Source organism: Homo sapiens, chromosome 7, assembly GCF_000001405.40.
Source record: "Homo sapiens chromosome 7, GRCh38.p14 Primary Assembly".
NCBI classification, from domain to species: Eukaryota; Metazoa; Chordata; class Mammalia; order Primates; family Hominidae; genus Homo; species Homo sapiens.
The window spans coordinates 84,159,940-84,186,100 of NC_000007.14; the positions used below are offsets into that span (position 1 = coordinate 84,159,940).

The 26,161-nt window shown below is 35.2% G+C and overlaps 1 protein-coding gene across 3 annotated transcripts in view, besides 1 other annotated feature; it reads right to left on the minus strand.

Annotated features, from left to right (window-relative positions):
• Positions 1-26,161, minus strand: part of SEMA3A (semaphorin 3A) — a 536,949-nt gene that overhangs the window by 204,163 nt on the left and 306,625 nt on the right. The window lies entirely within an intron of this gene.
• Positions 6,167-6,667: an enhancer, noted in NCBI's record as "H3K4me1 hESC enhancer chr7:83795422-83795922 (GRCh37/hg19 assembly coordinates)". NCBI's record gives its function as "activates a minimal SCP1, AML or CMV promoter by ChIP-STARR-seq in naive H9 embryonic stem cells {active_cell/tissue: H9 hESC(naive)}" and the evidence as "EXISTENCE:reporter gene assay evidence [ECO:0000049][PMID:30033119]".

Below are 26,161 nucleotides of genomic sequence, written 5' to 3' on the forward strand. Positions count from 1 at the left end.
GTGTGAACAAGAGTTACACGATGGAAGGCATCAGTTTTCACACCAGAAGGAATAAAAACAGGCAAAAATACCATAAGTTGATCCTCAAAATATGATTGATTTTAAGCCTTATGAGATAATTGTGAGGTCTTAAAATCTGAGGTATCAAAAACTCAGAGGGAATATATATTCTTAAGAATTATAACGATTCCACATTTATCCTCATTGACAGAATTGCACCAAATATTGGTAATTAAATGTTTACTATAGACTATTTAGTGAGATTAAAAAAAACTATCAATCTGTCTATCTATCTATCTATCTATCTATCTATCTATCTATCTATCTATCTATCTATCGTTAGTTCGTTCTAAACTATGACAAGTGTTCTATCATACCCTTTATATATATTAACCTTAAAATAACTCCATAGTCAGCCTGACCAACATGGTGAAACCCCGTCTCTAAAAAAAATACAAAAATTAGCTGGATGCAGTAGCACATGCCTGTAGTCCCAGCTACTCAGGAGGCTGGGGCAGGAGAACCACTTGACCCAAGAAGCGGAGGTTGCAGTGAGCCGAGATCGCACCACTGCACTCCAGCCTGGGTGACAGAGTGAGACTCCATCTCAAGATAAAGAAATAAATAAAAACAAACAAACAAAAAAATTCCATAGGGGGTCAGGTGCGGTGGCTCATGCCTGTAATCCCAGCACTTTGGGAGGCCGAAGCAGGTGGATCACTTGAGGTAGGAGTCTGAGATCAGCCTGGCCAACATGGTGAAACCCTGTCTCTACTAATAATACAAAAAAATTACTTGGGGGTGGTGGCATGTGCCTGTAATCCCAGGTACTTGGGAGGCTGAGGCAGGAGAATTGCTTGAACCCGGGAGGAGGAGGTTGCAGTGAGCCGAGATCCCGCCATTGCACTCCAGCCTGGGCAACAAGAGTGAAACTCCATCTCAAAAAATAAATAAATAAATAAAATAAAATAATTCCATAGGATAGGTAGTATTATTTCTACTTTATTGATAGGAAGACAGGACCCTTATCACAACTGCACTTTCTGTGAGCCTCAACAGGCATGGTCACCAGAATTAGGATGAAAGGTTGTTGTTGCATGAGTAGAAGAGGATAATACTTTTTATTTAAGAATTTTAAAATTTAGGCCGGGCGTGGTGTCTCATGCCTGTAATCCCAGCACTTTGGGAGGCCGAGGTGGGCTGATCACGAGGTCAGGAGATGGAGACCATCCTGGCTAACACGGTGAAACCCTGTCTCTACTAATAATGCAAAAATTAGCCAGGTGTTGTGGCGGGCTCCTGTAATCCCAGCTACTCAGGAGGCTGAGGCAGGAGAATCACTTGAACCCGGGAGGTGGAGGTTGCAGTTAGCCAGGATCACGCCATTGCACTCCAGCTTGGGCAACAAGAGCAAAATTCCATCTCAAAAAAAAAAGAATTTTAAAATTTAATCTAGAAATTAACATGTAAAAACACAATCCTTAGACTACAAAGCACTGTCTATAGTACAAATCATCCCTGACACCCTCACGGGACATCAGGAGTCCTGGCTCTTCTACATTAGAAAAATCAGTGTTAGAAGAGTTTCACACTACCAAACTATAAAAGTAGTTGGCAAGCTCATGAAATAGGTGGCTAGAAGTGATGTGTGAAATGATTTCATTGTACAGTGTGTCTTTCCCTGCTTTTGGACATTGTAGGAATGTCTTGATTTATGGAGAGAACTGCTAGATCTTTATGGTCTAATTTTGGAACTGGTACAGAGCAGACACAGGAGGGGGTCACTCATATATAAAAATATTTGCATGTGGTATTTACTAAGGAACAAAAGCAAATATATGCTCAAAATGTGAGAGGCTGACTGTAAGAAGAGATGATATGAGTATATTCTATTTTTAAAATATTCTAGAAAAACTAATATTTAAGTTCATTTAATACTATTAATGTTTCATTTTTCTAGCACCTTGATATGAGCTTATTATTAAAAACAATACTGACAATATATCAGAAAACTGCTTGGCTCTGCAATAATTTTAATCCTGACCCTAATTCCCAATCCTTCTTAAGTATACAATATTTAACATATGGTCTTATTGGATTTACTAAAAATAAAATGTTTATATTTTGAGTTTAATGTTACTGGACAAGAATATTTAGCTTCATATAGTGCCTGTTGAATAGGATAAGCATATGTTTTGATAATTTATTTTTATATCAGTGTGCAAAAGAAGCTCTTGTATGTTTGGAATTTGTTCCAAAATGCCATTTATTAGGCCTATTTTTTCTCTAATAAAAAAAGAGTCACTACAGAAACAATTGGATGTTATTATGCTCTGTGAGTGGCTAGCAGAGTTGATCCTGTGTGTACACAATAGTAGGATTTTACAAATGTAAATGTGCAAAGGGTGAGGAAGGGTGGGGAGAGAAGAGAAAAGCAGCATGACCAGCTAGAGTCAAACCTGGGATCCAGGCTTGGCTAAATTTCAGGAATTGGACCTGGGGACCCCTCATTTGCTTTAGGGCCTGGGAAGGGAGAGACAAGAGAGAGAAACTTCATAACAACTCTCAGGAATAAAAACTGAAGGATGACTCTGATTCTAAGTACAGCAATGGTATTAATTTGTCTTTTGGCTCATATCCTCAATTTTTTTTTAAAAAAAAATAGATATGATTTGCTTAAAACACTTTTCAAAACACAAGTAGCAGCTCAACTCCCTTTATTGTACAATGTTGAACAGGCTGGGAAGGAGTCATTACTGTTAACTTACCCATAAACAACCAGAGAGCTTGGGCACCTCAGGTTCTTAGAAGCAATACCTTGCTGAGAAGCTCTGTAAAATTTAGCAAAGCTGTAGCTATGTCCACCCAGTACTACTAGGCCCAAGGAGAGTAGAGAGGCACAATTAAGCAACAGTATTATCTGTGCAATAGTTCATGCTAGCTGCATTAGATTTGTTTCATGAAATAGACTCTAGAAACTTCGATAAGTACCTAGGGAGAGAGCTACTACATGGAGGTTAGGATCTTGCATTAGGAATTGCATACCAAAGTCAAGAAAACACAAGTGATTAATCAGTGTAATTGCTGGTAAGTCAAGAAACTCAAATTCTGGGTACTCTGCAAGATAAATACCACTAACTTTTATTTTATAGGTAACCAAAAGTAAGCTATTAGTGGTAAAATAATTTGTCAAAATCCACATAATAAATTGCTAGAGCTAAAATTTGATTTAAAATTGTCGATTCTAAAATCCAAGCTCTTTCCAGTATTCATATGCTTTGTATAATATTATAGTTCCAATAAATTATACTTAAAGGTATAAATGTATCATTTTAAGCGATATATATGTGTGTGTGAATGGGTGTACACAGGTATGTGTACTTTTTAAAACACACTTTTAAAAAGCAGCATAGTGAGCGAAGGTAGATGGTAACAGCAAATATATAGTAAGAGGCCAAAAAAAAGAAACCAACTGTCCTTATGTTATATGAATATTTGTAGATCTGCCTATAATTTTCAAAAAAGGCAAAGTCAAAATGATAAACTCTGATGACTCAAAATTCAGCTTAAATAATGTGCACATTCTGATATCAACGACGCATAGAAATACCTTGAACAAAATGATATAATAAAATATGACATTGGAAGAAAGCAGTATCCCTCGATATATTGTTTTATATGTATTTTTACATGTTAAACAATAAAATAAATGGTATAAATAAATATTTTTTCTATATCCCTACATTTTATGAATTCAGGTTGACCAATATTTGGGAGAAATCTTATATGTAAATTCACGATCCGCTTCCAATTAAGTCATTTTTTTTCCATTGGCCAATATTTAGGCTTTTCAGATAAATCACATTCAAATGAGAAAATGGCAATTGATTTCACACAGTACTATTTTTTTTTTTTTTTTTTTTAAGAAGGAGTTTTGCTCTTGCTGCCCAGGCTAGAGTGCAATGGATCAATCTCGGCTCACCGCAACCTCCGCCTCCTGGGTTCAAGTGATTCTCCTGCCTCAGCCTCCCAAGTAGCTGGGATTACAGGCATGTGCCACCACGCCCAGCTAATTTTGTATTTTTAGTAGAGACAGGGTTTCTCCATGTTGGTCAGGCTGGTCTCGAACTCCCGACCTCAGGTGATCCGCCCACCTTGGCCTCTGAAAGTTCTGGGATTACAGACGTGGGCCACCACACCCAGCCACACAGTACTATTTTTACCAAATATGTTTCATCATAAAACCAAAGGTAAATAATTATTTTTAAAATACTTGAATAAATCTTGGGAACCATTTTCTGTAACTTTACTAATTTATCACTAAATGCATTGCCGTGACTTATCCTAAATTGTTACTAAAATAGAAAGATGTTTCCAATACAAATTTTGGAATAAATTTGATATTTTTAGTCTCCAAAATTTTTTATATAATTATGAAAAATTAAAGTTGTAGTTAAATACTACTCAGTGGCTGAGTAAACATTTCTTTATCATGTTTCTTTATCATTCCCTGGATGATAATGGGATAATCTTATCCCATTGGATAAGACTGTATATTTGGATAATCTTGTATATTTGTGATGACAATACTCTGATAACAGCAACAACTGCTTTGACTTATGGAATGTTTATATAGGCCACGCAGACCCATATAAACACATTTAGTCCTAGCAATACCCTAGGAGGTAGATATTATTATTATTTCCAGTTTACAGTGAGAAAATGTATGTTATGTATAAATTGCATGTAGTAAATCACTTGAGAACAGAACATGGACAGCTTGGCTTAAGAATACTCTTGTCTGTTGTACCACACTCTATATGCCCTGAAACAATGAATCAGAAAATAGTTCTTAACTCTTAACACTTTCCTTATTACCAATGTATTAGTCCCAGGTGACAAAGAATCTGCATTTTAATATAATTATATAAAGAGCTCACCAAGGAAAATTATTAACATGTGTATTTTAGAATATGCTCTAGCGCTACCTTAGGAAAATCTCAAAGTACTGTAAAACCAACACTTTGGGAGGCCGAAGTGGGTGGATCCCTTGAGCTCAGGTGTTCAAGACAATCCTGAGCAACATGGCGAAACCCCGTCACTACAAAAAATACAAAAATTAGCCAGGCATAGTGGCACGTGCCTGTAGTCTCAGCTACTTGGGAGGCTGAAGTGGCAGAACAGCTTGAGCCTGGGAGTTGGAGGTTGAGTGAACCGTGATAGCGCCATTGCACTCCCGCCTGGGTGTCAGAGTGAGTCCTCGTCTCAAAATAAATAAATAAATAAATAAAATATCTCTGCTGTGACAAGAACTCATCAACATCTCATCAAGAAATGCTGCTCTTCTCTCATCCTCTCTTAAAAGTAGACTAATATTTTGAAAGAAATTTGGACAACAATATATATTTTTAGAAATAGCTAAATTAAAAATCATTATAACTATGTAATTATATGGGGCATTTAGGTAACACCTGATGCCAATGAGTTAAAAAGCAAAGATTTATTGAGTACTTAATATGTTGGAAGAGAAAATCTTTTTCTGTTCTAGTGAAAAAAAAAATATTACATATGGTGGGCACATGAGTTCACTTGTAGCATAGCTGGTTATATATACCAGTACCTTCTTTTTTTGAGGCGGAGTCTCACTCTGTCACCCAGGCTGCAGTGCAGTGTCGCGATCTCAGCTCACTGCAACCTCTGCCTCCTAGGTACAAGTGAGTCTCCTGACTCAGCCTCCCGAGTAGCTGAGATTACAGGTGTGGGCCACCATACCCGGCTAATTTTTGTATTTTTAGTAGAGACAGGGTTTCACCATGCTGATGGACCTGGTCTGGAACTCCTGACCTCAAGTGATCTGCCCACCTCCGCCTCCCAAAGTGCTGGAATTACAGGAGTGAGCCACCCCTCCCGGCCTACCAATACCTTCTTAATAAGATCCTTGTCAACTTACAATTCAGCTTGTATTTACACTAAACATGAGTATGTATATCTAATATGTGAAAATATAAAATGTGGAGGGTGTGAAGTGGTAAGATAAGAAAGATGAGATAGAGCCAGGTGAGGTGGTTCATGCCTATAATCCCAGCACTTTGGGAGGTCAAGGCAGGAGTATCACTTGAGCACAGGAGTTTGAAACCAGATTGGACAACATACAGAGACACTCTCTCTTGAAAAAGTAAAATAAATATTAGCTGGGTATGGTGGCGAACTCCTGTAGTCTCAGATTCTGGGGAGGTTGAGGTAGGAGGATCACTTGGGCCCAGGAAGTCCAGGCTATAATGTTAGCAATGATTGCACTGCTGCACTCCAGCCTGGGTGACAGAGTGGGACCCTGTGGAAAAAAAAAAAAAGAGGCCGGGCGCAGTGGCTCACACCTGTAATCCCAGCACTTTGGGAGGCTGAGGCAGGCAGATCAGGAGGTCAAGAGATCGAGACCATCCTGGCCAACATGGTGAAACCCCATCTCTACTAAAAATACAAAATTAGCCAGGCGTGGTGGTGCATGCCTCTAATCCCAGCTACTCGGGAGCCTAAGGCAGGAGAATTGCTTGAACCCAGGAGGCGGAGGTTGCAGTGAGCCGAGATTGTGCCATCTCACTCCAGCCTGGGCAACAAGAGCAAAACTCCGTCAAAAAAAAAAAAAAAATTGCCGGGGGGGCGCAGTGGCTCACGCCTGTAATCCCAGCCCTTTGGGAGGCCAAGGTGGGTGGATCACGAGGTCAGGAGTTCAAGATCAGCCTCGCCAAGATGGTGAAACCCCGTCTCTACTAAAAATACAAAAAAAAATTAGCTGGGCGCGGTGGCAGGCACCTGTAATCCCAGCTACTCAGGAGGCTGAGGCAGGAGAATCGCTTGAACTTGGAGGGCAGAGGCTGCAGTGAGCCGAGATTGCACCACTGCACTCCTGCCTGGACGACAGAGTGAAACTCTGTCCTCTGTCTCAAAAAAAAAAAAAAAAAAAAAGAAGCTGAGGTGGGTAGCAGCAATGTTGAATTAATAATGGACAATGTATTCTATATAAATTTGTGCCTATTTTGCTAGAAGAGTGTCTATCATATAGTGAGTGTTGAATACTTGCTGAATGAATGAACGAATACTGCAAAAACAGTTCAGATTTTTGCAGTCCTACAAGATGTAGGACTGATGTATGGCAAAAATATACATTTATCCAGAAGATGAAGAGGAATCATTGCAGAGGAAAAAATAAATAGAAGGGACCTAATCAGGATTTCAGGATTGAACCCTAGAAAGGTCACATGTGGTTCTCAAGCTGCCTTTGGGGCATGTGGTTGATATGTCTAGGTGGCAGTTGAATAAAGCTCGAAGTCATACAAATTCTTACAATATATCACAGCCACAGCCATCCTCTGAATAATAGAAACAGTAGTTCCTGGCCATGTTTTATATCATGCAACCACAATTTAATGGATTAGCTATCTCTGGCTAAGCCACAGTCTCTATTCTATATACCTCTGACATGGCCTGGTATCATAACTCTTTTCAGTAGTAGAAACATTTTGTTATTGAATCCTATCTGAAAAGATTAAATTGAATCTCTTAGGGATTTTGAATACTAGAGACACAGAGAGTTGAGTATGGCAAACATCCAGACACATAGAGAGATGATTGTAAGAACTCATGACAATAAACGTCACAAAAAGCAGAAACTATGAGGTGGGGTAGAGTGCAGAAGAATTGGTAAGTGGTGTTAATAAAATAAGACAAAGGGAAATGATAATTATCTGGTACAGGCTTTTCTATGTTAGACAGATACACAGTTTGAGAATTCCCAATTTCTTCATTTTTCTAGTTCAGCTTAATGTCACTCCAAGAGAATAGGATAAAAGTTAGCATACTATTCCTTCTAAAATACAAATGTAAGAAACAAGAGCCATAATATTGAGACTAATTTGATGTAATAGCTCAATTTTGTAAAGGATTCATGATCATGTCCATCTTTTGAAGCTAAAAATGAATGGCAGTATCGAAGTGGATCATAGATAAAACCAACAATTAAGTTATTAGAAGAAATTACTGTTTAGAGTTCCTCTGTTTTGTTTAATCATATTTACTGTTTTCATTCCTGTAGATTATAAAACCATATCTCACTCAGTAAGTGAGGTATTACCTATGAAGAAATAAGGCACCATATTTTAAGGTCAAAGATAATTTATACGCAAGTGAAATAATATTCTGGAATTCCATGTTTCAGGCTGATACTCAATTACAAAACACTGCTTCTGAAAAAGGACAATGAAAAATAAACAAAGAGGTAGCAAGACAAAATAATGTGCCTCTTGGGTTGTTATTTCCTATATTCTCATGATTTCTGCAAAAATCAAACTAAATTAATGGGTATAGTCTCCCTCTTTAAACTTTTTAAATTTATGATGCGTTAATAAACTCTTTTGTTCTGTTTGCAGCCCACATGCTGAGATAACAATTTATTTTCTATTGTTTTAACTTCTAACACTTTAATATTTGGATTTGCCAAAAGATAAATATATATAGGTCTTTTTACATGAAAAACAGCTAGGTTTCTGTAATGTTGGTTGTTTCATTAAATAAAAATAGCAGTAATATTACAAATATACACAGAATTACTAAAAGGAAGATAACTTCTACAAATATAACTGGCAGTAGAAATCGACGTATTTTCCAAATTAAAATAGCATGTTTTATTCAACCTAGAGAGAAATAAATGATGCCTATCTAGTTATGAAAATTATACTTTATTTTAATCAATTTATGCCATTTTATAAGCAAATTAGATGATTACTAGAAAGGCATATTATTTCAGAATCTGATGAGAACTAACTGACACCTCACATAATACCTACCAGTTCAGAACATATGAGGTTTTTTTATTTGCATTAATATTTTAATGTAAACTTTTACAATTATCTTCAGTATCTAAATTTATCAGATAATAGTTTAAATTTCTTTTCTACTTGTATCTCATATAACTTTATGTTCTTGAGGGTTCAAGTTTGTATTGAATTATATAATACTAGAACAGTGAACATACATTAATGTCACCTGACATGCTTAAAAAATGTTGAGGCTAATATAATTGATCCTGAGTTGAGGTCAGGAGCCAGTATTTTATTTTTTAACAATCTCACCAGATGATTTTAATGCATACCAAGTGTTTCAAATTCTATATTGTCCCCAAATATATTAATCACTGTGATGAAAATAACATGTCTATTGTAAATTATAAATATTTCTATTTCTATTTAATAAAAACATTTCCCAAAAAAGAGCTTCTTTATTATTTATGAAAATAATGAATATGATCAAATGTTTTAAAAACCTAAAATGAATGGGCCATAAACCTATCTCTCCCACAAGTATTCAAGAGTGAAAGCCTAAGTTAAAATTTCATAATTAATAAAATTAATATATTCACTTATAGGATGTCTAATGTAATATAACATACTATTGTAAAATTTGAATAGTGTAGATAATCATTTATGTATTTAAATAAATGCTCTTCACTATAAGTTTTGTTTACTGAAGCAATATATAAGTAGTAGTGAAGGATTTTTAAATTAATTACAATAAGTTCACTGTATTTCCATATAAATTATTATATAATACTATATATAATAATAATTATATCATTTCTATTGTTCAGATATTGAAACGTAGATTCATAATATTAAGATGGAATAATTTTTCCAGAAGTTTCTTCTTGGCTTTAAAAAACCAAATACCATTTCTTTGTTGTTAGATCACCATAGATAGTCTACAATTAATCAATCACAAAAAGAATGATGCCTTGTTTGGAAGTAAGATTAAATAATGCAATTACAAATTGCAATGAGATTAACTTATTAAGGCACATGATAAAGTCAATTTAAAAAATAAGACACTATTTGTTACAAATGACCATAACTGGTAACAATTCCTTTGCATAAATCTTCAAGGTTGTTTAGCAGAAAGGATATTACTCTCCTCATTAAATAGCTTCATACTTAACAAATATTAAAACCCGAAACTCCTAGTCTATATTTATTTAAAAATAACATGCCCTCATTAACTGAGAATTCTAGCAAGAAAAGTAAAAATTTTAATAAGAAAAATGAAAAGAAAGGAAATGACAAATATTAAGTGTCACCAAGCACACTGCAATTTCAGTTTTCAGTTTGCAAAGATGAATGATACTTCAGGTGAAAATAGCTTTGTTAGTACAGTCCTGATGTAAGTTATGGAAGATGAACACTGCCTGGTGCTCTCAGTTACAATGACTCATTATCTTGTAACGATAAAAGATTTTAAACACGCGTTGCTTTATATTTTTCCCATCTTTTTATTTATAAAAGCCTTAACATTTCATTTAGAAAGTAAAAGTTACTTTTGTAATACACAAAATTAAAATGTATATGATGTGCAGCTACTGCAATTTCTCAAGGTGCTTGATTCCACATGGCAGTGACTTCGTAAATGAGATTTGAGTCTTTTTCAGTGGTGCTTTTTATGCTAATAACTCTACACTTTAACAAATACTTTATTTGGTTTATTTAGAAAATCCTATTGCAAATTTTATCTGTTATTTACTATATTTACATTTGTAACAATCATATGAGATAAAGTTTATATGTGTGCATAAAACTTTATATGGAGAGAGTTTTCAAATGGAATACAACAACTGAAAATTATTTTAGGGTATTTTGAATAAAGTAATTAACTTGTTTTATATAGATAATTACATATTAAAATCTCTGAGAATGTTTTCAGATTTTTCTTGTATTTAAAATTTTAATTATTGGATGTGTACAATTGATCCTCATGAAAAGCTCTTGCTGCATAAAGGGATTTCCAAGTTGGAAATAGTGTGTGGCTTTATGTTTGCCAAGTGTTGCCATCTTAAAATCTTGACTGTTGAAACAATAACATTTTGGCTGCTTTTATAACACTCATTTAATGTTTACAGTTTAGTAAGTGTGCATTTTTATAAACAGAGGGCTTACCTAATTAAACTGGACCGTGTAAGAACTAGGTCAATGTATTATGAACAAAATAATCCCAATATGGTTGGGTTATGGAACAGCTCAATTTTGCTCATTGAGTTCTATCGATTTTTGGCAGAGAGAAAAGAAGGAAAGAACAGATGGTGAAAGAAAGAAATTGAGCTGCCAGTGATGGAATACACTATCACACTGAATTATAAAGAATGGTGCTCTAATCCCCTGAATAGTTATTTCAATTAGAGTACAAAATTAACACATACTGCTTATTTCTGAAGCAACATAATATTTTAAACAAAATGAACATAAATTTAAGTTTCATGTTGTGATGAACCAGTGTTAAAATATGACATCATACAAAGTAGGAAGGTGGCTTTGTGCACTTAGATTAATGAAAACAATAAATTGTATTTCCCTCTTTGGGTTGGAGAGTGGAGAAAGATTTGCACTTCTTCACTGGCAATTTCAGTGTTCAAACTGAGGGACTTACAACACTTAGAAATAGGTGAAGCTTCTGTATATATGTTAATTACCTGTAAATATGTGGATTAACACTTTGCCCTGACAAAGATTGGAGAGTGTTCTACCTTCAAATAAACAAAAATCACTAAAAAATTAATTTCAAAATAATAACATAAAGGTCTCAATTTAGAATAATATGCAAATTAAGTTTCTATAGGCATTGGTATGAATTCAAATGTTTTTTCATATAAGTTTCTACAAATAATATCTTAAACAGTTTAGCTGTAGTTTCATGTAAGATTTGTAAAACCTAAGATGATGTAAATGTAAAAATATTAATCAAGAAATTACAATTCTCATACTTGAACTGCTTTGATTAAAAAAATATATTAAGGGAGGACCAAATTATTTTAATGCTAAATATTTTAAACTTTTTTTACTAAAAATTACATTTTATTCTGCTTAAATTGAAACATAATTATTTTATGTCTTTTGCATTTGCTGTGTCATGAGAATAACAATTCAAACCATATCAGGCTGCTTCAAACAAGGGTCAAAAAGGGAGACAACCATTAACTTATAAGTTCAAGTGGTAGCAGAAGAAAGCTTCCTCAAAATCAAAAGTAAGAATTCACTCTACTTTTTTCAAATCCCACATTCTTTTTAGGTTTTGTATCAGAATTTGTCTATAATTTGTGAGTTAACTGATATATTCATTTTACACATCTCTGTTTTTAGTCATTAGTATTAAATAGACCTTCGCTCTCTAAAAGAGCAAAATGAAAAGCTCAGTCATTTTCAAGTGTCATTTAGTTAGCCATATGCACACTCCATGTGCCACATATATATAATAAATATTTTTGACACTCTAGGTCAAGAGGCAACATTGAAAATATTGTGTACATATATATAACAAGAGGGAAACATTGCCCTACATCTTTTATTGACAAAATTTGAAGCTCTATTTATGGAACTGAAGTTTGAATTTCATATAATTTTCATGTCACAAAATATTCTTCTTTTGATTTTGCTTTCAGCCACTTTTTCTTTTCTTTTTTTCTTTTTTGAGACAGAGTCTCGCTCTGTCACCCAGGCTGGAGTGCAGTGGGCTATCTAGGTTCACTTCAAGCTCCGCCTCCTGGGTTCACGCCATTCTCCTGCCTCAGCCTCCCGAGTAGCTGGGACTACAGGCATCCGCCACCACGCCCGGCTCATTTTTTGTATTTTTTTTTCAGTAGAGACGGGGTTTCACTCTGTTAGCCAGGATGGTCTCGATCTCCTGACCTAGTGATCTGCCTGCCTTGGCCTCCCAAAGTGCTGGGATTACAGGCGTGGGCCACTGCACCCAGCCTGCTTTCAGCCACTTAAAAGTGTAAAAACTCTTCTTAGCTTGCATGCTGTCTGAAAACAGGCAGCAGGCTGGATTTAGCCCACAGACTATGATTTACCAACCTCTCAGTTAATCTATTGTTTTATTTTTGTTTTGGAAAATATTGAAGTTCTAGAAAAAACATAAATTTCTTTTCCTGACTTATTACAGGTAACTTAACCTTAGATTTTTGTTTCTGAGATATGTACCTGGGAAAGTTTTGGGAAAATATTAATCCATTCAATGACAGAATTCTACATTATCTTGTGTTCCTGTCCACAAGGTAAAGGGTAAGTTTTTGTTTCTGCCAACACTTTATGACCATATTTTCAGAGGAAAAGTACAGTAGGAAGCGATAACTTTTTGAAGTAAAAGCATAGTTATTATTTAATATTTTACTTATTATGTATGCTCCAAGTTTCTCTCTTGTGGGCCTGTCTTTTGTCATATCATTTTTAAAGTATCCTTCCTAATCATTAAAAATAGTGAGAATCTTCTATTGAACCCTCTGAATTATCTTTAAAAGTTTTGGCCAGGCGCGGTGGCTCACGTCCGTAATCCCAGCACTTTGGGAGGCCGAGGCGGGTGAATCACCTGAGATCAGGATTTCAAGACCAGCCCGGCCCACACGGTGAAATCCCATCTCTACTAAAAAGATACAAAAAATTAGCCAGGCGTGGTGGCGCATGCCTTTAATCTCAGCTACTCAGGAAGCTGAGACAGGAGAATCGGTTGAACCCGGGAGGCGGAGGTTGCGGTGAGCCGAGATCACGCCACTGCACTCCAGCCTGGGCAGTAAGAGTGAAACTCTGTCTCAAAAAAAAAAAAAAAAAAAAAAAATTTACAAAAATTGTTGTTTTACTTTTTAGAAAGATGTATTTGATTAGAAACTGAATACATTTCTACATAATGGAGAAACCCAGCATGACTCAAGGTTTCTACTCAGCTACCCCATAGTGCCATACACCAAGTGGTAGAGCAAGGGCTTCCCAATCCCCCTCCCACAGATGGGTACCAGCCCATGGCAGATTGGGAACTGGGCCACACAGCAGGAAGTGAGCAGCTGGAGAGCAAGCATTACTGCCTGAGCTCTGCCTCCTGTCAGATCAACGGGGGCATTAGATTGTCACAGGAGTCAGAACCCTATTGTGAACTGCACATGTGAGGGACCTAGGTTGCATGCTCCTTACGAAAATCTAATGCATGATGATCTGAGGTGGAGCTGAGCCGGTGATGCTAGCGCTGGGGAGCAGTTGCTAATAAAGATTAACATTAGCACTGAGGTGTGACTGCACAGAGACCATAAAAAATCAATTGCTTGCAGGCTCATATTGAAACCCTATCAGTCAGTAGCAAGTGACAAATAAGCTGCATCTGGTGGCAGGCTTTATAGTGGCAAGTGAGTTGAAAAAAAAAAGGTGCACAGTAAATGTAATGTATTTGAATCATCCCAAAACCGTTCCCCTCCACCAGCCAATCCCAGTCTGTGGACAAATTATCTTCCATGAAATGGGTCCCTGGTGCCAAAAAGGTTGGGGACCACTGTAGTACAGGACAAGAAAAAACTCTGGAAATTTTACATGAACCAGGTCCAAGTTGCCAGCAATGCTGGAGTAATATTTGGATTTAAGGAAGGAACTTAGGGTTTAAATAGTGAAATGTGTGAAGCATAGACGTTTTTCCTTATTTCAGTCTCAACCAGCAATCATTTAGAAGTTTCGCTTGAGCTTTGCATAAAATTTTCATTAAGTCTATAATATAATGGTTTATATACTGAAACAACTTACGCATCCACAAAAATCAGAAGCTAGAACTATTTACTTTTGCAACAGTTACTATTTACTATGTTTGTTATTTCAGTAAACTTAATTATGTAATGGTATATGATTATGTACTACTGGAGAGCTATACATTATCATTCACCTCAAAAACAATGAAAGTTTTTATCCAAATCATGTATTAAATAAAGAGATAGAACAAATGAAGATATAAATTATAATTAGTATTCTTGTAGTTCTAATTGTTCATCTTTATATGTAGTCAATACGCTTAGAAGAAAGCTTTCACTTTTTCAGAAGATTTTAGGTGTTGTTCTGTGTTTTAAGTGAGGAAAAGAAAAAAAATTCTTGTTAAATTCTTGGAAACATAATATTTTCTAAAATGTTTAGCATCTCAAATCTAACAGCAGTAATTTATAGCAAGAATTTTTAGGACTCTGTGATTTGACTGTTAATTTTTTAATCTTTTTTTTCTTTTTTACTGTAATGAGTATGCGTAATTGAACTCTTGCAGCCTTTGAACGAGAGTCTCTTCCACTTGTCTGGAATCATATATCTTCAGCCAGACCAGTGATTAAAAGTAAGTAAGGGGTTTGGTGTCCAACGGACATGGAGATTCTAGCTTTTTTCCTACTGCTTGTTCTACTTTGAGCCTTGGTTTCCTTATCTGTAAAATGATAGAAAATGCCTACTGTCTGGGTTTGCCATGATGATTACATGGGATAGTTTACATAAATTCATAGAATCAATTCTGGCCAATAATGAATATCCATTAAATGGGAATTATTAATGTTATTTTTAACATCACCATTATTTACTGTAACACAAACATACGAATTATATTTTTTAATTAACATTAAAAACAATTGTTTTAAAGCTAACCTTATTTCAAAATGCATTATGTATGAACATTAGGAAAGACTGATCTCAAGCTGGCACCTGACTGTGTTACGTAGTCCCATGGGGCATCCTGAGTGTCAGCTTCCCTTGTAGGGTTCACCACCAGGAGGTATACAGCAAGTAGTAATCAGTAGTCTGTATCATTTAAGACACTGGTTCTAGGGTTGGAAAGGGGAATTTTCTTGTAAACAAGTTCCATTTCCTTCTTTCAGAGTCATCTGGATGTCTGGAAGGTAGAGTATGAAACAGACAAATGGTTTTTGTTATCAAAATGACAAATGATGAATGTTATGGTTGGAAACCTACAGCAACCTTTTTTTTTCCCTGTCTGTTATCACATCCATTATTTTGAATAAAACAAACTGATAAATAGTACATCAGTTGTAGATATGTACTATTAAAAGCTGGGTACGTGAATCCTAAATGTCTAGAAGTAGGTACAGGAGCAGACTCTGTGAACCTTCCTTGCCCCACAAAAGAATGCTCTGAAGTTTTATAGCACTTTTTATTTATGGTCACAGTGATCCACCAACACTAACAAGCATTAAATTTTCTCAGCACTCCTATCACTTTATTTGACATGGGAAATTATTAGTATACTATGGCCTAAATATGCAAATTCTGAATTAAAATGTTCAATGCTTATCTTCCTTAAGAACAATTATGTCTATTTAGTGGTTTCCCTTTTTAATAATACAATAATCTTGTTTCCTGGGGTTTATAAATTGTTTAGGATGCAGTTCTCCCATTTCAGTTGACAGAAATCATGGTACAAAATATACATTACGAGGCTATTCTGTGGTATGCTGTAAATTGCCAAAGCAATTTAAGTGAAGGTCCCAATTAGTATAAATAGTAAGAACTTTGAAGAAAAGGACCAGCAAGTCAAAAAATTAGTATCCAGACTGGAATGAAGATCAGAGGGGTGTAAATATGTTTTCTATTGGGATTTCTCCCACAAATGGTTCATTTTCCTTGTATTTAATGGAAAACATACCACGAGTTGGATGTAAAACCTATCAGAAATTATTCATTATCTTCTAAGATGTATGAGCATATTTATTTATGAAAGATGGTATGGAACATCACTAGGGTGCCAGATTAATGCCTATGAGTCTATAACAGTGGCTTAAAAATCCCAAGGATAATAGTTTAAAGGATCAGTATTTGTAAACCAAGTGAATAGTTTAACATCTAAAACTTGAGTGGTGTTTAAGAATGTAAACACATTTTTTAAGCATTTAATCCAACTTTTGGACCTGACAGGGAGCAATTCCTGTCATTCCCTATTCAATCACATTTCCAAGCCACTCTGACAATGTTAGTTTGTGAAGTGGAAGCAATGACTTTGACAAAAGTAAATACTTCCAACAATTCAGTCTAGTCATTTTTCCTAATAGAATGCACGAAAGTTTAGGGTGTGCAACATGCAATTTCAGTAGTGAAGATAACTGACTATGGAAACTGGAAAAATGCCACCATCTAAGCCTTCTTCCACTGTTGCATAACAATATCTAGCCCCGAGCCATAAAATTAGACTACTTTAGTGGTGCTGTCAAGTTGCTTGGCAGTATTTTTGGAATAGTGTTCTATTATTAGGAACACCTAGGGAAAATGTTGAGAAAATGCCTTCAAAAAGTAAAAAGGACATGATGAAGCATGTTCATTCAAATAAAGCTCATGCATCTACAAGAATCACTTAAGTAAAAATAGTTGAAAGAATAAACCCATAATCCAGTGGAATGCCTTTAGAACTGTTATATCAGAAGACAGAATGAGAAAAAGATACAGCATTTACTGTATGTAGCTGGTATGGCTCATGAAGTTTATTTTGATTTATCAAATATCAGAAGACACATTATAATAAAGCAACATAAACATAGGTTACTTGTATTTGGTTTACCTCAGTAGGCCATGCATTCATTCTCCTATGTGTTTATAATATAAAGTTATCACCTCTGTTCTTTACCTACAGCCTCTGTCCATTATTGTTAAACAAGGTAAAACACTCTGTTTTCCTGGGCTAAAAGAGACTACATATTCTTGAGCACAACTTCAATAATAAATGAAACTTAATGAAATTATGGGAACATGTTATTCAGTAATAATGATAAATTGTTTTTTATAGGTTTTGTTCCATGCATATTTATTATGCTCACTTTTTATAAAGTATATTGAGAAAAAAACCCTAGTAATTTTTATCCAACAATTAAATATCCTCTACAAAAGTATAAATAATTTTGTAAGTTGGAGTTGTTTCCTCTCTAAAATGAATGAGAGATGTAAGAAGAAACAGAAGTATTAACTGATTTATTTTTAAGGAAAGTTTCTCTTCCTGAATTCCACCTCACAACATCTTTTGTTTTCTCTGGATTCCACTCTTCTGATTTGATTTACTTCCACCCCTTTAAATGTCATGATAAACTTCTGGATATAACATTGTATTAAACAACTGTATTGTTAGCTGCAACTACTGGAATATCTTGTCATCTTGCTCTTTCAACTCTCTCCTAATGTATACATATTGGCTTAGTCACTCTTCATCAATCCTTTCAGAAGACAAAGAGAATAATAGAAAGTCACACACAACAATTACTATGTAATTCATCAAATGTAGCCACACTGAATGAAATTATTTATTCAACTGAATGGTTAATACAATGCAGGGAAAAAGCAAACAAATTATCTTTTCCTCTCCAAACATAGCTTGTGTATTTACCTAATTGCCCACACTATTATCTCAACTCTTGAGTTATCTTACTTGTCTTGTTCCTTCGATCCACAGCTCTTATCTAATTCCTTTGTAAATAAGGCCTCTTTTGCTTTTTTATAACACTTATTGTCTATTCAGCACTTTGATCGCTTGACCTGGTACTTCATATTGTGAGTCATTCTTACATTTTCTATCAATGTATAATATTCACTGAGCCTTTACCACGCCAAGCCCTTTGCTGAGTGCTCCCTGTGTCTCATCCATACACATTTTTAACAGGCACTGTCCAAGTCTCATGTAATCTACACAACAATCCAAAAGAGGTAGATCTTTTATTATTATCCCTATCTTACAAATAAATATTAAGTTTAGTGGGTTATATTGTCCAAGGTCACACAGAAAATTAGTGTCAGACTTGAGCTCAAATCTCTCTGATTCCTAAAACCAAGCTGTTAATTACTATACTGATTACAACTAAACTGTAGTTCTTAGTGCCTTGCTAATGTACCCAAATATATAAATTAAATATAATAATTATTGCAATTTTATAAATTATTTAATTATGTCCATTGGAAACTAAGTGAAAGAGGCAACAGACAATTACTGACTACCTCTTTTGTGACGTCCTTTGTTTGCTCATAGAAGTTACTTGCCCATGGTTATTCAATTAGTCCCTGAACTTATTTGATACAATTTTCTTACAAATGTCTTAGCAAACTAAAATACTGAACATTTAATCAGATGCTGGTGACACTTTCTCTCTTGCTTTTCATTCATTCTACTTCCTTCAGCTAGAATGTTCTCCATTCTTTCCCACCCCTCCATGCCTGCCAAACGGTTCTTTGATTCCTACTTCAAATATTTCTTTTCACATAAAGACTTTCCTGACTTCTTGACCCACTGTGATATCAAATTTTCTCAACACTCACAGTTCTTTATTGGTATATATCACACATTTTCCCCATAAAGTGTGTTTTGACATACTTGCCTACCTTTCCCATTGAACATAAGTTCTTTGGTGCAGAACATATCGTACTTACCTATACATATCCCATAATTAATATTGCACTACCTTGACTATTAGTACTTATTAGAAGAACGATCAAAGATTACACAGTCTCTGATCACTGACATACTTGGATTTTCAAAATTGGCTCCCATTGTCTTATTATCTGCCACTCCATTCCGTATGAGGTTAAATTAATTTGTTGTTTCTCAGATACACAGCATACATTAATGCCTCAAGTCTCCAGACAGTGTGCTTCTACTAGAAAGCCATTCTCCATTTTTTTCTTGCAAAACTTTTCTCATCTATATAGGTTCAGTTTAATGTTCTCTACCTGTAAAACATATTTTCCTCATACTCAATAGCATATCATAGAATAATTAACAAGTCATTGTCACCTCTGAACTTTATAGCATTTGTTTTACATCTGAATGATAGACCAATTTGCTTTGTCATTGTGTGGTGTATTTTCTCCAGCACTATGTTGTGAGGTCTTGAGAACAGAGGCTAATCCTATGTTTCTTTCTACTCCTAGTATTATTACAATGATTGCTGCACAATCATACTTAATACATCTCTGTTCATTTGAAATTGATTTAAAAGTTTTAAAAGAACATTTTCTAGATGAGAAAGAGAACAATAAGTATAGAAGCAAGAGTGTAATATTATGAAGACAAACATCAAGAGTAATCAGAGTTACCCCGGACCCCTATACCAAATTGTAACAACAACAACATACAAACACTCACATATTTGAGTTTTCTCTCTTCTGGCAACTTTCATATCTAGTATGTTTAGTCAATGCATCTCTGCTTGACTGTTCTTTTTTTTTTTTTTTTTGAGACTGAATTTCGCTCTTGTTGTGGCGCGATCTCGGCTCACCACAACCTCCACCTCCCGGGTTCAAGCGATTCTCCTGCCTCAGCCTCCCTAGTAGCTGGGATTACAGGCATGTGCCACCATGCCCGGCTGATTTTGTATTTTTAGTAGAGACAGGGTTTCTCCATATTGGTCAGGCTGGTCTCTAACTCCCGACCTCAGGTGATCCGCCCACCTCGGCCTCCCAAAGTCCTGGGATTACAGGCATGAGCCACCGTGCCCGGCCTGCTTAGCTGTTCTATTCCTGGTCATTCTCTTTCACCTTCCTTCCCTCTACCATTGCTGCATGAAATGAACTCCAAATGGCAATTGGCATTTATCTAGCAGAACATAGAATTAATTCTATTTTTGAAAATTTTGTATTTTTTAAAAAATTAACCTGACGAGGCTGGGTGTGGAGGCTTATGCCAGTAATCCCAGCACTTTGGGAGGCCGAGGCAGGTGGATCAACTGAGGTCAGAAGTTTGAGACCAACCTGGCCAACATGGTAAAACTCCATCTCTACTAAAAATACAAAAATTAGCTGGGTGCGGTGGCACACGCTAATAATCCCAGCTACTTGGGAGGCTGAGGCAGGAGAATCACTTGAACCCGGGAGGCTGAAGTTGCAGTGAGCCAAGATTGTGCCACTGCAGTCCAGCCTGGGCAACAGAGCGAGACGTCATCTCAAATAATAAAAAATAAAAATAAAAATAAAGAAAAATAAATTAACCTGATGATACACTAAATCCTAAGTAATCCAAGCTATATTGAAGATTGAAGGTCTGTCTGCACAAAGACTGTCTTTTATTTTTGTCCCAGTTTCTTACAGGTCCTGGCTTACTAAATGAAGGATGCATGTTGACTCAAGATGTGGAGGCTATTTCCTTTCTTGAAATATTGTCAGTTTTATTTAGATATTCATTATAATGATTCACTTATTGGTTCCCTTAAGTAAATACATTAAAATAAGCAAAATTTTATTTCTAGTTTTTATTAAAAAATTGGGAGTACAATACACTTGATTTCAGTCTAACAAAATATGAACTTATGCTTTTTCTTCCATTGAAAAGTTGATAAGGTAATGGTTAAATATCTGCCAGTGATTTCTTTCTTTTGCCCCCTTTTCTTTCCCTCCTCAAATTTTGTATATGTGTGTATGTTGTCTAGTAACAGTACTTTGAATTTGCGTTGTTTTAATATCTGGGTTTACATATAGCATATGATAAAAATATTTTATCATTTATTTTTATTATATCTATTTCCTTTTCAAGGAGATTTGATTCAGGTTTACATGGTCAAACTTTATATAATGTTACAAATATATATATATATATATATAACACACATATACATGAGTAGAAAGACTATATAACAGGAAAAAATTGATATCATGCTAAAAGAAAAAGAAGGGGATTTTTTTAAAAGATAAAAGTTAGCTGTAGTCAGTCTAAAATGCTACTCTTGGCAAAAGTAGTTTTTCAGAGATAGACTGACGTAATTATGTCTAACTACAGCTACTTACATTTTAACAATTACTTAAGGAAAAAAATTTGCCTTTTAATATTGTATCCTAAAAATAATGTAACAGCACAAAGGCTGAGGTTGTAGAACTGTAATTTACATTTATTGGACTTTACTAAGAAAACACTAGTAGTTTTACAAATTCATCACTGATTATTTTTACATTTAAGTTGCTATTTTTAAAAAGTTGTTCTTTGTGATGTGGTTATAATTTATAACCGCAGACAGTCTCAGTTTTTAAGCTAAAACTATACCTCACCTTCACATATCATTTACATATACTGATTGCTTCCACATGTCTGGCATAAGGTAAAATAGTTTATGAGCATTGTAGTACAGCTAAAGCCACAATGAAATAAAATTCTTCTTGGTCTAGAGTACCTCAGAAACTTAGTCAGCTTGGTGCATAAGTGTTTTCCAAAAGAATTCTGTCTTCCAGAAAAACTCTATAAAATCTGACTGTGGTTAGTGTCACCTCCTTTTCTAATGACGTCTAGATTTCTCAGTCTGGCTTCCAAGTGTCTTCTGTTAGACAAAAGCCCCTTTAAGTTGCTCTCAACATGTTCTTCATTCTATTTACTAGATTCAGACTGCAGGTTTATTTTCTTGAGTGACTGAATATCCTCTTTCCTGCAAATGGGTTATTTGCGATCACAGGTGGTTCACGGAATTAGTCAGCTAGACTCAGACTTTATATCTACGAGGTTTCATTCAGACTCAGAGACATATTAAATAGAAATATTGTGTTAATCCCTATGTGGATTCAATACTCCTTAAGTTGTCATGAAGGATGTTGTGTCTTCATGGACCAAGTCATAACAAAATAATATTCAAGGCAACCATTACGCCATTTTAGAGGATATGTTGTAAGTACAGAAGCAAATAAAACTAGTCATTTCCTGGTTATTTTTACTGAATATTAAATGACTGACTTTAGTTCATGTTGAGAACATAAATTGGAACTTACAGTCTGAGATGCAGCCAATCCTTTCCTGAAGAAACAGGTGCTTCCTTGCTCAGCCTGTCTCAGTAAGTACTCAGATCCAGAAGAACTAATAATCAGGTCTCCTTTCATCCTCACATTAACTTCATGTACACACTCATGTGATTCCAATGAAATTACACTTAAAACAATTACACAAATTACCTTGAATTTATGCTTAACACACTTAAAACTGTGTTAAGCAACAGGTCTACAGTTAAGACATTTAGCTTCACCTAAATGAAGGTGAAAGACTGAAAAACCTAAAGTTAGGTTCATTTTTTTCATCAGTTGTTTACTTGAAACATTACCGTTTTACAAAGCCTCCTCATATCTTCATTGACTAGCAGATATTGACAAATTTCATGTTTTAAGACATTCATGCTATTACGCTACATTTCTTTGAAAGACACACACTACACATAAAATAGTTGTCAATTAGCTTTCATTATTACTTTTAATATAATCTCCAAAGCAAGTAAAAGCTAGAGAATACACACAAGTAAACCACTATGAGGGAGCAAAGCACTGTAATCCAAAACCTAGGCATTACTAATCTGCCTCAAGGAATTAATAGTTATTGAATATCTTCTATGTATCAAGCACTGGTTGGGCACTTTACACCTGTATTTACATTGTCTCTATAACAGCTTCTGAGTGGTAGCTATTCTACCCATATTAAGGAAGAGGAAACTGAAGCTGAAAAATAAAATACCATGCTGCAGTCCTCACACCTAGAAAGCGTCAGAGCCTATTCAATGTTTTTGTCACTAGAATGTTCCTCTTGTCCTTGTGAAATTTTTTTTTCAGTAGCTATGAGTAGCTATGTATGAAAACTCCATTAATTTTCAATAGGCCAACAAGTAGGTACTTGGATACTATAAGCAGAGTATGACCTATCATTCAATAATAAGTAATAACAATGCATATTATCAAATATATTTTTAATCTGAATATATGAAATTTTAAATTGAATATATGAAAAAATACTTTCTGACACCTGTGAAATGACTTAGCAAGGCAGATCAGTGTCTGCTTTGCCCACTTGTGCTTCATCAGACCTAAATGAATTTTCAATAGGCCAACAAGTAGGTACTTGGATACTATGAGCAGAGTATGACCTATCATTCAATAATAAGTAATAATAATGCATATTATCAAATATATTTTTAAATTTAATATATGCTATCATTTTGCACATTCCAAGAAAGTAAAATTTTACCTTTTTGGAAATATAAAAACGCAATAACTCTGGCACAATAGAGACATTCAGCCATGATCTCCTTCTATAAAGAACACTAAATGGTATAAAATACATGGTATGATATGAACAAAAGAGCATTCATTTCTGTGAAAGTGTCCATAGTGTGTGTTATGTGTGATACAGCTCAGTATTATAGACTGAGATTTGTATGAAAGAAATAAATTACTATACCATTACTAATTTCACTTCCTTACATGGAATCTGCTTAAAATAGACTAAACAGATTCTCTCAGTATCAATGTGCTGATGTTTATATAGTTGTGAACAGAAGTATTGTCACAGAGGAGATAGTTTTTCCCTACTTGACAGCTAAAGAGAAAGGCCAGTCAGATAAGTATTAATTTAGGTCTGATGAACCACAAATGGGCAAAGCAGACATTGATCTGCCTTGCTAAGTAATTTCACAGGCGTCAGAACGTTTTTTTTAAAAAAATCATTTAGTCTCATTTTGTTATGTTAGATCTTAAATAGTTGTCTGGAAGAAGGGCTTAAATGACAGAAAAGATGTCTGTATATTAGAATGTGCAAAGGAAACCGTAATCCTGTACTGACTAGGCACCTTGGGAAGTAAAAGAAGTCTGAGACTCTATTGAACACGGGGATCATGTGGTGAAAGTAAGAAACTCTGTAGCTCTGGGCCAGTGCGGGAGAGCCTAGCTTGAGATTGATCTGCTAAAAACAAAAGGTTTCATTTTTGAGGGTTGGAAAGTTTTCCCATATCCCAAAACGAGAATTAACAGGATTTTGTTTTTGAAAGGATAGCATTAAATGAGATTTATTTGGAGAAGTCAAAAGATATAGACTGAAGTACTACCAGGTAAAAAGGTGGGGGTATGGGTAAGGGGAGAAATCCTTTTTTTTTTTGCAATATACTTCAAACCTGGAAAGATAGAAGGCAATTATATTGGGGGAATCTGTGTGCTGATCAGACCCTGCACCCAGCATAACTTTCACTCTGGAGCTTGAAGAAACAGAATAGAAACATTACGTGCATGCCTTTAGAGGCAAGACAAGTACTAAGGTCCAGAGCCAATATAATGAGGAGGCTTAGTGGAAGGGTGGCAGAAAGGAGACTCTTGGTAACTTTTTAAAGTACCAGTGCCCAGAAGAGAGCAGAGAACTTGGTTAGACAGCAACATTGAACAATGGAACGTGCCCTGGGAAGGTCAACCACAAATGACAGATCACAGCCAATCATGAACTGCTTAAGACCTGACACAAAGCAAAGGGAGAGACTGTCTCTCAAGACCTGTGTCCAAATCCTTTATTCTTGTGCTCTAATAACTGGTGTTTTAATTTCAGTAATTCCCAATTAAATGTAAAAAAATTAGAAAAATAACGGTATATGACTTTTCTTGTACTTGAGTATTGTGGATATACACAACACACACATACTAAATATAAACCCATGAATTTATGTATTTCTTTATCTATATACAATTCTTCAAAGTACAAGGAATTATACCATTTTGAACAAAATTCCAGAAGTGACTTTTTTCTGTGTTGCCGGGTACCATGAACCTACAACGTTGTCTAATATATATTATCAAATATTTCCAGACTTGTTGTGAAGACTTTATTCACAACTTGCTGTTGAATTAAAGAAATAATAAGGGGCTGGGTGTGGGTGTGGTGACTCATGCCTGTAATCCCAGCACTTTGGGAGGCCAAGGTGGGCAGATCATCTGAGGTCAGGAGTTCGAGACCAGCCTGGACAACATAGTGAAACACCATCTCTACTAAAAAAATTTAAAAAATAAAAAAAATAAAAAATTAGCCAGGCATGGTGATACATGCCCATAATCCCAGCTACTCAGGAGTCTGAGGCAAGAGAATCACTTAAACCTGGGAGGTGGAGGTTACAGTGAGCAGAGATCACGCCATTGCACTCCAGCCTGGGTGACAAGAGAGAAACTCTGGCAGGAAAAAAAAAAAAAAAAAAAAAGGAAAGAAATAATGAGTTAATTCTAAAAACATGAAGAAACCATCATTATAAATCATTTTATGTTATAGTTTTAAAAACTGATAATAAAAGTGTTTTCTACATCAGATAACCAAAATCAACGTCCTTTTCTTTTTTCCTTTGGTAAGAAATAACCCTGCTTCTGTATTTTGTAGATAAATTCCAAAAAAGAAATAGAGAAGCCCAACTGACTGACCACTCTAGAAGGTCCTCACAAGTAGGTGTCACTTGTCCCTCCTGATCTCACTGTCAGTCAAATATAGACAACCACGTATCAACTCTACTCTATGAAGTTCCTAGCCTGCTATGCTGCAGCTCTAAGTCATATAAATTATTCTAAATATATTGCTGTTTTCCTAAAAAGAAAAT